Source organism: Homo sapiens, chromosome 18, assembly GCF_000001405.40.
Source record: "Homo sapiens chromosome 18, GRCh38.p14 Primary Assembly".
Lineage (NCBI taxonomy): Eukaryota > Metazoa > Chordata > Mammalia > Primates > Hominidae > Homo > Homo sapiens.
Window position 1 is genome coordinate 48,469,470 of NC_000018.10, and position 13,191 is coordinate 48,482,660.

Below are 13,191 nucleotides of genomic sequence, written 5' to 3' on the forward strand. Positions count from 1 at the left end.
ATTCCTGGGGGAGAGTTACCACCACAAAAAGATAATACTTAGGCAAATTAACCCTAAATTGGAAGTATCACAACATATTTTGATCCAAGAACCCCAGATGTACTATGTTAAATACTCCTTCTTTCCTGCTGTGTCTCGTTTGTATGCTGGACCAGATAGAGAACAGGAATGTGTAACACTATTTTCATTCCATTCCAACAACAAAAAATATCAAGCATTTCCTACTGCTCTGACACTAAATAATTACAAAAGACACAACCATGTACAGAGATGTCGTCTCTACCTCCAAGGAAAACACAATCTAGAAAATAGGTATCATGGGCCGGGCGCGGTGGCTCACGCCTGTAATCCCAGCACTTTGGGAGGCCGAGGCGGGCGGATCACGAGGTCAGGAGATCGAGACCATCCCGGCTAAAACGGTGAAACCCCGTCTCTACTAAAAATACAAAAAATTAGCCGGGCGTAGTGGCGGGCGCCTGTAGTCCCAGCTACTTGGGAGGCTGAGGCAGGAGAATGGCGTGAACCCGGGAGGCGGAGCTTGCAGTGAGCCGAGATTGCGCCACTGCACTCCAGCCTGGGCGACAGAGCGAGACTCCGTCTCAAAAAAAAAAAAAAAAAAAAGAAAATAGGTATCATGGGTCTAAAAGGAAACCAAAACTGAAATGAACCAATCTTTAAAAATAAAGCAACATAAGAGCCTTATCTACCAAAATCTGTGGACTTCAGCCAAAACGGAATTTAAAGATAAATTCATAGCCTTAAAATCTATATATTAGGGCCTTAGAAAGAAAATCAACTAAGAATCCAACTCAAGGGCAATGTGGTCATGGTGGCAGTAGGTTTCCCAATCTCCCTATAACCTCTCCTGACAACCAAGTAGAGCAGATAGGATGCAGCCCCCCAAAAACCCACCACCTCAGCCAACAACAACAAAAATCCCACCTCTAACCTCTAACCTCTTCAACCAAATTAGGTGACAGGAGACCTATCAAACCTGAGGACATGGACAAATACGCCAAACCAGCAACAACAGGACTTGGTCACAAAAATAAAAAAGTCACCCACAAATTCTCACCCCCAAAAGATGAAGACAACACCCTGATCAGAGCTGAGCGCATCCTGAGCAGGGAAGAGGAGTCCCAGGGGCTCACAGTGAAGATAACTGGGCCTGGATCTGGGTGGAGCAGAGAGGGTGGAACAGTTTAAATTCCTGAGAGTCTCAGAAATATCCGGCAAACAATTCATTCCAGAAGGAAAGAGCTGCAGTCTGAGGGAAAATTACTGGAAACAGAAACCACATTGAGTGGGGCTCAATTTGAGTAAGTGAAAGAGAAAGCATAGATCACAGGGGAGGAGGGTCCTGGGGAAGAAGGTCTCTGTAAATACTGCAGCATCAATATTTACCATGTGAAGCAGCATGGCATGGAAGGCCAAACCTAGGGTGCCCAAGAGCCGGGGCTGGGGCTGGAGGCAGGAAATCCTGAACCCGGCTCATGTCAAAGAGACAAAGAAATGGCTACAGAGACAGGCCTAATTTTGAGTCATTCATGGTGTCAACAGAGTAGGTGGCATCAAGTCATGAGCTAAGGATGCTGCCCTTGCCCATCCCTCCCCAAACTCTCCTGTTCCCCAGAGAATCTTCTCAGTTCCAGATATAACTCTCCTTGCCCCATTGTGTAGCTGCAAACCAGTTTCCCCCGGTAACTGGAATTAATCGCTCCTGTCAGTAGAAAAAAACGAAAGCTGAAATCCTTGTTCTTCTAATTGGTACCATAGTATAAATAGCCCAAAATAGCTGGAGGGCATTCTCATCTTCCAATCAATGATCCTACCGATGTGTCCCCTGATATAAGCATTCTCCCATTCAGACCTAAGACTTCCAAACCAACAAAGCTCCAAGTTGCCAGGATGGGAAGCAAAAATTCTATAAGTGGGTGACTAGGTGTAAGGGAGAGAGGAACCACTTCTACTTCTACCCTTTGATTTCCAGACTCGTGAGTTCTTGCCATGGAGAAGGCAATGTCATGTAATGATTTCTGATTCAAAGGACATACTGCACCTTGTGACACAGAACCCCATGGTTTCAGGACACTGCCTTCCAACTGGTGCTGCAACTGGGTCTTCAAGAAGCTATTCCACCTTTCAATAAGACCATTTATTTCCAGGCGATAGGGTATGTGGAAGTACCAATGAATCCCAAGAGCATTAACCCACTGCTGTACTTCCTTGGCTGAGAAACACATTCCTTAATCAGAATGCCCTTGAGAATGCTCTGAAGATGGATGGGGCATTCTTCTGTGAGCCTACTGGTGGTGAAGGGCAGGCATGGGCATCACAGGCAGGGAAACCAGATCCTTGTCCAGAATGTGTGCCTATCCCAGCAAGAACAATTGCTGTCCGATTCCAGGAGAGAAGAGGTCCAGTGTAATCAACCTGCCACGGGGTGGTTGACAGGTCCCCTCAGGGAGTGGTATATTGGGGGTTGGTGCTTATCTCTGCAGTTGGCAAGTTAAGCATTCACTTAGCTATAGCCAGGTCAGCCTTGGTAAGGGAACATCCACATTGTTGGGCTTATGCACAGCTCCATCTCCACTGCCATGACCAGTTTATCCCTGAGTCCATTGAGCAAGCCCTGGGGTGGCTGGGAAAAGATGTTGACTGACATTGATAGAGTGTATTATTTGGTCCTCCTGACTACTGAAAGTCTCCTCTGATCCGCAAACGATGTCTTTTGATGAGCAATCCCATGGGACAGAAAGATCTTCACAGTCTGCCCATGCTGAGTTCCATCCACATAACTTTCCCAGACTTCCTTGTCTCTAATCCTCCAGTCGTGTTCTTTCCAAGTACCCGACCATCCGATCAAACCATTTGCAATTACTCTTGAATCAGTATAAATCCATGATATAATGTGAATGTCTGTGTTTCCTCAAATTCATATGTTGAAGACCTAACCTTCAGTGTGGCTGCATTTGGAGACAGGGCCTCTAAGGAAGTAATTAAGGTTAAATGAAGTCAAAAGGGTGGGGCCCTGATCTGATAGGATTAGTGTCCTTATAAGAGGAGACACTAGACGTTTTCTCTCTGTCTGTCTGTCTCTCTCTCCACACACACGCATGCGTGCACACACACACACGCACGCGTGCACACACACACACACACACACACAGAGAGCAAGGAAAGTCCATGTGAGGACATAGTGAGAAGGTGGCCATCTGTACGGCAGGAAGAGGCCCCTGACCAGAAACTGAATCAGCTGGAACTTGAAATTTCAGCTTCTAGAACTGTGAGAAAATTAATTTCTGTGGCTTAAGCCACTTCATCTATGGTATTTCATTATGACATCCCAAGATGACTAAGACAGATTTTTGTGTTGAGAAGCAGGGAGTTGCCATAACAAATGCTAAAACTGTAGAAGTGGCTTTGGAACTGGCTCATGTGTAGAGGTTGGAGGAGTTTTGAGGTGCATGCTAGGAAAAGCCTAGATTGCCTTAAAAGGACTGTCGGTAGAAATACAGCTGCTAAAGGTAATACTGGTGAGGTTTCAGCTGAAAATGAGAAAGAGTTTATTGGAAATTGGAGGAAAGGTGATTCTTGTTACAAAGTGGCAAAGAACCTGGCTGAATTTTGTTCTAGTGTTTTGTTGAAGGTAGAACTTACAAGCAATGAAACTGGATGTTTAGCTGAGGGCATTGCTAAGCAAAATGTTAAAGGAGTCGTTTGGTTTCTCTTTATTGCTTATAGTAAAATGAGAGAGAAGAGAGAAATTGAAAAAAATTGTTAATCAAAAAGGACCCAGAGCTTGGGCCCGGCGCAGTGGCTCATGCCTGTAATCCCAGCACTTTGGGAGACCGAGGCAGGCGGATCACGAGGTCAGGAGATTGAGACCATTCTGGTTAACACGGTGAAACCCTGTCTTTACTAAAAATACAAAAAAAAAAAAAAATTAGCCAGGCGTGGTGGCAGGCGCCTGTAGTCCCAGCTACTTGAGAGGCTGAGGCAGGAGAATGGTGTGAACCCAGGAGGCGGAGCTTGCAGTGAGCCAAGATTGCACCACTGCACTCCAGCCTGGGTGACAGAGCAAGACTCTGTCTCAAAAGACTGAAAAAAAAAAAAAAAAAAAAAGGGACCCAGAGCTTGAAGATTTGGAAAATTCTCAGCCTATGCATATTGGAAAAACAAAAAATGAAGAAGCATTTTCACCTCTAAAGAGCACACTAAGGTTGTGGCTGGCCAAACATTTGATAAAGAGATCATGGGTGCAACACATGGATTTCGCTAGCCAGCTCATAAGAGCCAGGGATAGAAGTTAGGCACTGCCAGTTTGAACTAAAGGGGACAGAGAAAGTGAGACAGGTTGAAAAAAGGCTGTTGGATATTGCGATTCTACAGAGCAGGATGGTAGAACTATTCAGTTGAGAAATATGCTTTGTCCTTCAAGAAAAGGCAACAATGACCCTGAAGGCAATTCAGAGATCATCAGGGCTCCTATCACAGAACCAAGGGGTAAGGTTGGTTTCTTCTCAGTTTCAGTAGACCAGATGGCCACCACAGAGAGCTGTGCAGGTGAGGTTGCCACAGAGAGTGGTGAGGTGATGCTGCCACTCCAGTGGGCTGGGATGGGGGGTGGACAGAGCACTGAACCAAAGAGGATTATTCTCAACCCCTAAGATCTAATGGAATTTGCCTTGCTAGGTATTGAACTTGCTTGGGACCTGTCACCCCTTTCTTCTGATTTCTCCCTTCTGGAATGGGAATGTTCATCCTATGCCCTTTCCACCGTTATATTTTGGAAACACATAATAGTCGGGTTTCACAGGTTCATAGCTGGTGAGTAGTTTTGCTCACAATGAATTGTAGCTCGATTTTCATCCATACCTGATTTTGATGATATTTAGTTGAGATTTTGGTCTTTAGAACTAGAGTTGATGCTGGAATGAATTAAGACTTTTGGGACTGTTGGAATGGAATGAATGCATCTGCATGTAAGAAGGGCATGAACTTTGTGGGAGGCAGAAGTGGAATGAAATGAGCAGAATATCTGTATCCCCTCAAAATTAACATATTGAAACTCTACCCCAAATGTGATCGTATTTGGAGATGGGGTCTTTAGGAGATCATTAGCATTAGTTGGGGTCCTGAGGATGGGGCTCTCATGAGGAGACATCAAAGAGCTTGCTATCTCTCTTTCTCTCCCTGTACAAGCACAAGGAAGAGGTCACGTGAGCACCCAGAGAAACAGTAGCTACCTGCAAGACTAGAGAACAGTCTGCAGAATGAAACCTCCCTGGCTGGCACCTTGAGCTTGGACTTCCTGGCCTCTAGAACTTTGAGAAAATACATTTCTGTGGTTTAAGCCACCAAATCTATGGTATTTTGTTATGCAGCCCAAACAGACAAATACAGACACATACTCTATGACATATTTATAAAAAGGTTTAAAACATACAATTTTACCATATGTTGTTTAGGAACACACACATATGTAATAATAACATAAATACATCCATGGGAAGTATAAACACCAAATTTAGGAGAGTGGTTCTTTTTGCAGGGTAGGGGAAGGGGAAATGCAACTGAAGGAGGGCCAGGAAGCCTCAACTATATTTGCTATTTTATTTCCTAAGGTGAATGCTATGTCGTTTTCTAAATCTTTTTTATGTCACAAGAATATTTTTAAAAGAAAAGATTGGCTCCTCGTAACATCATCAAGGCACTGGATCAAATCTTACCAAGTTATATGAGCCAACACACCCCATAATTGTTTCAGCCAGTAGGAGTATAATTTGTTTGTTGTTGCAGTCAGAGGCTCATCAGAAATCTTGTCTTCTCCATGAGGCCTCACCTAACTACTGCAGATCTGGAATAGCCCTGTCTCTCACCTGCTATAAACTACGATGGCTTTCACTTGGTTCAATATTGTGTGGATTTATTCCCTATTTATTTCATGTGCGGTTATCCACCATAAAATCATAACAATAACAACAATAGCTACCATTTATTGGGTGCTTCCTGTGTGTCAACAACACAGTGCTTAACTTTGTCACATCCAAGTACTAACCAGGCCTGACCCTGTTTAGCTTCTGAGATCAGACAAGTTCGGGTGCATTCAAGGGGGTATGGGCATAGACTCAGCACTTCGCTTTCTACATCCATCATTTTAAACCATCCTCACTATTACTAACTCTGTTTTTGCACACAAGGAAACTGGAGCTCAGAGATGCTAAATGATTCATCCGAGGTCACACAGCAAAAAAAGTGCCAAGTCCAATCGTTTTCTGCCAACTCCTCAAAGCAGAAAACTGTCTGCTTTCCTACATCCCCCACCACGACCTGAGGCTAGGTCCACCCGTGTGAGCTGATACAGCAACAGACTCTTTGTCCCCAGAGGTTGTTCAGAACAGAGCCTTGGTGACAAGGACCAGCTGCAGGGTGGATGAGCAGGGCTTCCCATTGGTGAAGGCTGCCCTGGCATGGCTCGAGAGAGCCTGTTGGCCTCATTGTGCACTCATGGGCCACAGTGGTTCCATCCTCCGGGTCTCCACCTGATCCCAGACACAGGCACTCAGACTTGCTGGAGCACTTGCTATCAGCTCCCACTAGGTGTCTCTGTTACTTTATTTTTTGTGTGCCAGAAGGCAAACCAAGGCCACTTACTTAAAACTATTCAAATCCAGATAAACGGGCTGCCTGGAACTCTGTGGTGGCCTCAGAGAAACCAGACTTCTACAGTCAGAACCTGTGGGCTTGAGAAGGAGAAGATAAAATAGCTTACATTTACTGAAGGCCTTTTGCACATCAGCCAGTTTACATACTTTAATATTAACAATAGTTAACACTAAGTAATGTTTTGTATGCACAAGGCACTCTCATGTGCTTTTTGCAAATATTAATGCACTCATACCTCATAACAACCCATAAGTACAGAGGTACGAAGGGTTAAGTAACTTGCTTAAGGTCACACAGCTAGTACACAGCATGGTCATTTGGATCATTCAGGTCTCATAACTACCCTGCAAAATACATGTTGTCATCCCTATTTTACATATGTGGAAACCAGGCTCAGAAAAAGTAAGAGGCACAATGTTATACAGCTAGACAGTGGCTGAAGCAGAATTCAAACTTAGGTCTATTTGACTCAGGTCAAAATATGAGTTGGCCCCATTCCCTGAGAAGGAATGAAGACCAGATCATAGGTAGGATCCTGTGTCCTTGACCCCATGTGGGTCACACACACGGCTCTGCAGACTCCACAAAGGACTGTGCAGACCCACTTCTCTGTAGACAGGGCTGAGATGTTCTGAATTCTACCAGGAATTGCTTTGAAAGTAAGGGAGGGGCGACAAAATATCATCTTTGCATGTAAAACCCCTCTACGGATGTATAGAGAGAAGCAACTCCCCACTCCAATTCAGGAGGATGAGGGAGAATTGACTTAGAGGGGGTAGGTTTTGGTTAAAGCCAGCAGAGGTTGCCATAGGTGGGATCTGAGGGTATCTGTGGAAGGCCTCAAAATTGCTCCCTTTAGACTGGTTGGCTTCACTGCTGAATTCTACGAATTTTAAAGAACTAATACTATTTTTTTCTGCAACTATTCCAGAAAATTGAAGGCAAAGGAATTCTTCCAAACTCATTCTACAAGACCAGCATTACCCTGATGCCAAAAGCAGACCAGGACACAACTAAAAAAGAAAACTATAGGCCAAAATTCCTGATGAACATAGTTGCAAAATTTCTCAGCAAAATACTAGCAAACTGAATCTAACAGCATATCAAAAAGATTACATACCATGATCAAGTTGCAAGGATATTTCAACATATGAAGATCACTAAATGTGATACATCATCAGAATGAAGGACAAAACCATACGATCATTCTAATAGATGGAGAAAAATGCTTGATAAAATACAACATTAATTCATGATAAAAACTCTCAACAAACTAGGTATAAAATGAACATACCTCAAAACAATAAAGGTCATATATGACAAACCCACAGCTAACATATTAGTACTAATTTTATACCGAATGGGGAAATGTTGAAAGCCTTTCCTCTAAGATCTGGAACAAGATAAGGATGCTCACTTTCACCACTGTTATTCAACATAGTACTTCAAGTCCTAGCCAGACCAATTAAGCAAGAGAAGGAAATAAAAGGCATCCAAATTGGAAAGGAGGAATTCAAACTGTCCCCGTTTACAGGCAATATGATTTAGAAAAACCTAAAAACTCCACCAAAAAACTGTTAGAACTAATAAACAAATTCAATAAAGTTGCAGGATACAAACTCAACATACAAAAAGCAGCAGCATTTCTATTTGCCCATAATGAACAATCTGAAAAAGAAACCAAGAAAGCAATCCCATTTACAATAGCTAGGAAAAAAAATACCCAGAAGTAAATTTAACCAGAGGTGAAAAATCTCCATAATGAAAACTATAAGATACTGATGAAAGAAAATTGAAGAGCATACAAAAAATGAAAAGATATTACATGTTCATAGATTAGAAGAATTAATATTGTTAAAATGTCCATACTGCCAAAAGTGATATACAGATTCAATGCAATCCCTATCAAAATACCAATAACATTCTTCCCAGAAACAGAAAGAACAACCCTAAAATTTATATAGAACCACAGAAGACCCTGAATAGTCAAAGCAATCCTGAGCCAAAAGAACAAAGCTGGGGATATCACACTACCTGACTTCAAAATATACTACAAAGCTATGGTAACCAAAACAGCATGGTGCTGGCTTAAATACAGACACATAGACCAATGGAAAAGAATAAATTAAGAACCCAGAAATAACTCTTTGGCCCTGAGGTCCTACAAGAGGCCAGAGGAGTACAGGTACTCAGGGAGGCTGTGCAGCCCCAGGCCTGTATCAATCACCACGTCCTGCTTGGAGCCATGCACCAGCCAAATGTTGGCATGGTTGCCCGACTCATAGAAGTGTTCTTGAATTCAAAAGATACTACCACCTGGAGACTTGTGGGTGTACCACTTGAGCGCCAACATGCTGGGCATGGGTGCAGCCAGGCAGATGCCTTTCAGAATTTGCCCACTCGTCTAGTATAACTAGATCTGATGGCTGGGAATAAAGGAAGAGGAGGATGTGCTGCTCATACCTTTAATACTGAGGCTGTTGGATTTAGCAAAGGTGAAAAGTTACCTTATGTAGTGTTGAAACCACCCCCACTATTTCCTGATGCAGATTATAAATCAGTGCCACTGAAAACAGAAGATGAAGAATACATGCTGGCTTTGAAACAGGAGTTGAGAGAAACAATGAAAAGAATGCCTTATTTTATTGAAACACCTGAAGAAAGACAAGATATTGAAAGGTATAGTAAAAGATACATGAAGGTATATAAAGAAGAATGGATACCAGATTGGAGAAGACTTCCAAGAGAGATAACGCCAAGAAATAAATGTAAAAACACAGGCCCAAAACCCGAAAAGGCAAAAGACGCAGGCAAAGTCACCTCACTAATACTTCAGATGTGTTGAAAAAAATTGAGGAATTGGGAAAGAAAGGTGATGGTGAAAATTCAGAAGAGGAAAATGAAAAGGAAGAAGGAAGCAAAGAGGAAAGTAAAGAAGGTGATGATGACGATGACGATGATGCTGCAGAACAGGAGGGATATAATGAAGAAGAGCAAGAAGAGGAAAATGACTACATTAATTCATAATTCGAAGATGGAAATGATTTTGGCCCAGACAGTGATGACAACATGGATGAAGCAACCTATTAGGCATGAAATTTTTCAAAAAGTATTTTTATGATGCAGCTTCTGAACATTTGGACAGATTTGTTTTGTATTTTTTTCTGATAAGGAATAAGTATTTTTGTTTTTTTTTTTTGGACAAATATTTGTTACCAAAATATTCAAAACCACTTTGAGTTTACACACTAATTACCTTACAAATTAGTCCCTGACACTCTGACCTTCCTTCTAAACACCTCTGCCATCTCTCTTATGTACTCTTGTGGGTTTTTTTGTATTATTTGAATAGGAATGTGCCTAAAGAATTTTTGCTCTCTTAATCTATGTATACATACTTGAAGAAATCATGCTTGCTTAACTGCTGATTTTTTGTAAAACTATTACCAGTCATAGTGGATTTCTGTAACCTGAAAGTTGATATAATACAGCACATGGAGCACTTTAAAAACAAACTTGAAAATAATTTTATTTTTTACTTTTACATGGTATGTTCTAGACTACTGCATTATGACTACATAAACCAACCTGGGCTTTTATAAGTACAGAATTGTGAAATAGAGGTTTTGTGATGGAAAACATAGACACAGGGAAAAATACCAAACTGAGCAATATAAATTTCACGGCTCACATCTTAGCCAGTACAAAGAAATTTTCACATGGGGTGAATATTATAAATACTGGAACTGGGGACTAACTTAATACTGTATGATGTATGAATTAATTATTCCACTGTAATAACTGTGACATCTTCAAATAGTTGGGCTTATGAAAAATTTGACTAAGACATTTTAATTTTAAACTTTATGTAAATGTGAAATAAGTTCTGGTCATATAAATATCACTGTAGAATGCATGTGTGTGAACTCTATGAAGTGTGGTGGCCTTTTATGTTTCAGAGTACTCAAGCTGTACAATTGATTTATATAAACATGCAAGATGAACTCAGGTCATTTTGAAATTAAGATTAATTTTTTTGTTGTTTAAAGCTAGCTCCCCTAACTTTATATATTTTTTGGGAAAAAAAAATACCTAAAAACCTCAACCTAAAAAGACTCACAAATGCCAAACATTTTCAAGGAAATTTATATTATATATTTCAAAAATGATTTATCAATGTTATCTACCAAAATAAATACTTTTATTTTTCCCCTTTGGGAAGATATCATTATCCTCTAATGTGAGAATCAGATCCCTAGATTCTATTTCTACCTGTACTATTAAACTCAACCTTGAGCCTGGAAAAAAAAAAGAACCCAGAAATAAATTAATGTATTTACAGCTAATGGATTTTTGACAAAGACACCAAAAACATACATTGGGGAAAAGACAGTCTCTACAATACATGTTGCTAAGAAAGTTAGATATTTGTATGCAGGAGAATGAAACTAGAACCCTATCTCTCACTGTATACAAACATCAACTGAAAATGGATTAAAGACTTAAATCTGAAGACATGAAACTACGAAACTACTAGAAAGAAACGTGGGGAAATGCTTCCTGACGTTAGTCTGGCCAAAAATTTTTTTTAACAAGATCTCAAAAACACAAGCAACAAAAGCAAAATAGATAAATGGGATTCTATCAAACTAAAAAGCTTCTGCACAGCAAAGGAAACAATCAATAGAGTAAAGTGACAACCTGTAGAAGAGTAGAAAATATTTGAAACTGTGCATCCAACAAGGGATTAATAAGCAGGACACATGGAACTCAAACAACTCAACAGCAAAAAAGCAAATAACCAGATTTTAAAATGAGCACCTGAGCTGGTGATTGTGTGCCTGCAGTCCCAGCTACTTGGGAGGCTGAGGCAGATAGTTGTTCGAGCCCAGGAGTTCAAGTCCAGCCTGGGCAACAAAGCAAGACTCTCATATTCAAAAAAAATAAAAGGGCAAATGATCTAATAGACATTTCTCAAAAGAAGAAAACCAAATGGCCAACAGGTATATGAAAAATGCTCAACATTGCTAATCATTAGGAAAATGCAAATCAAAACCACAATGAGATATCCTGATCAAAAAGACAAAAAAATAACAAACGTTGGCAAGCATGCAGAGAAAGGGGAACTCTTATACACTGTCAGTGGGAAATTACATTAATATGGCCATTATGGAAAACAGTGTGGAGGTTCCTCAAAAAACTAAAAACAGAAATACCGCAGGATCCACTAATCCCCCCACAAGTGAAAGAAAACCAGTATATGAAAGAGATGTCTGCACTTCATGTGTATTTCTGCACTATTCCCAATAGCTAAGACACAGAATCAAGCTAAGTGACCATCAACAAATGAACAGATAAAGAAAATGTGTGTGTGTACATATACGTACATACATATATATATGTATTCCATCGTGTATATATATGTGTGTGTATATATATATGTATTTACGTATATGTATATATACGATGGAATACTTTTGGCAAGAAAAAGAATGAAATCCTGTCATTTGTAACAGCATGGATGAGCCTGGAAGACATTATATTAAGTAAAATAAGCCAAACACAGAAAGACTAATATTGCATGTTATCACTCATATGAAGAAGCTAAAAGAGCTGATCTTACCGATCTTATGGAAGTGCAGAGTAGAGTAGTGGTTTCTAGAGGCTGGGAAGGGCAGAGAGAGAGGTCTGCTAATGGATACAAGATTGCAACTAGATATGAGGAATACATGTTAGTGTTCTATAACAGCGGCCCCCAACGTTTTTGGCGCCAGAGACAAGTTACGTGGAAGACAATTTTTTCACAGACAGAAGGTGGGGGTTGGGTGCAATGGTTTCAGGATGGTTCAAGCGCATTACATTTACTGTGCACTTTATTTATACTATTATTACATTGTAATATATAATTAAGTAATTATACAACTCACCATGATGTAGAATCAGTGGGACCCCTGAGCTTGTTTTCCTGCAACTAGGTAGTCCCATCTAGGGATAATGGGAGACAGTGACAGATCATCAGGCATTGGATTCTCACAGGGAGTGCACAACCTAGATACCTCACACACAGTTCACAATAGGGTTTGCACTCCTATGAGAATCTAATGTCACTGCTGATCTGACAAGAGGTGGAGCTCAGGTGGTAATGTGAGCAATGGAAAGTGGCTGTAAATACGAATGAAGCTTTGCTGGCTTGCCCTGCCACTCGCCTCCTGCTGTGCAGTCACAGACTGCTACCAGTCCATGGCCCAGGGGTTGGGGACTGTTTTATAACACAGTAGGGTGACATCCTTAAGAATAATTTATTGTATATTTCAAAATACTTACATGAGAGGATTTTGAATGTTCCTCAAACAAGAAGTGATAAAAATTCGAGTTGATGAATATGCCAATTACCCGAATTTGATTATAACAAATTATATACCTATATCGAAAAATCACATATACACCACAAGTATGTACAATTACACCAATTAAAAATACACTTTTTTAAAAAAAGGCTTAGAAACAAGGACCAACTCAATA

The 13,191-nt window shown here is 40.8% G+C and overlaps 2 pseudogenes; one reads left to right on the plus strand and one right to left on the minus strand.

Annotated features, from left to right (window-relative positions):
• On the minus strand, positions 6,018-6,131 carry RNA5SP456 (RNA, 5S ribosomal pseudogene 456; annotated as a pseudogene).
• Positions 9,049-9,953, plus strand: POLR3GP2 (RNA polymerase III subunit G pseudogene 2; annotated as a pseudogene).
• Positions 9,954-13,191: the final 3,238 nt, after the last annotated feature.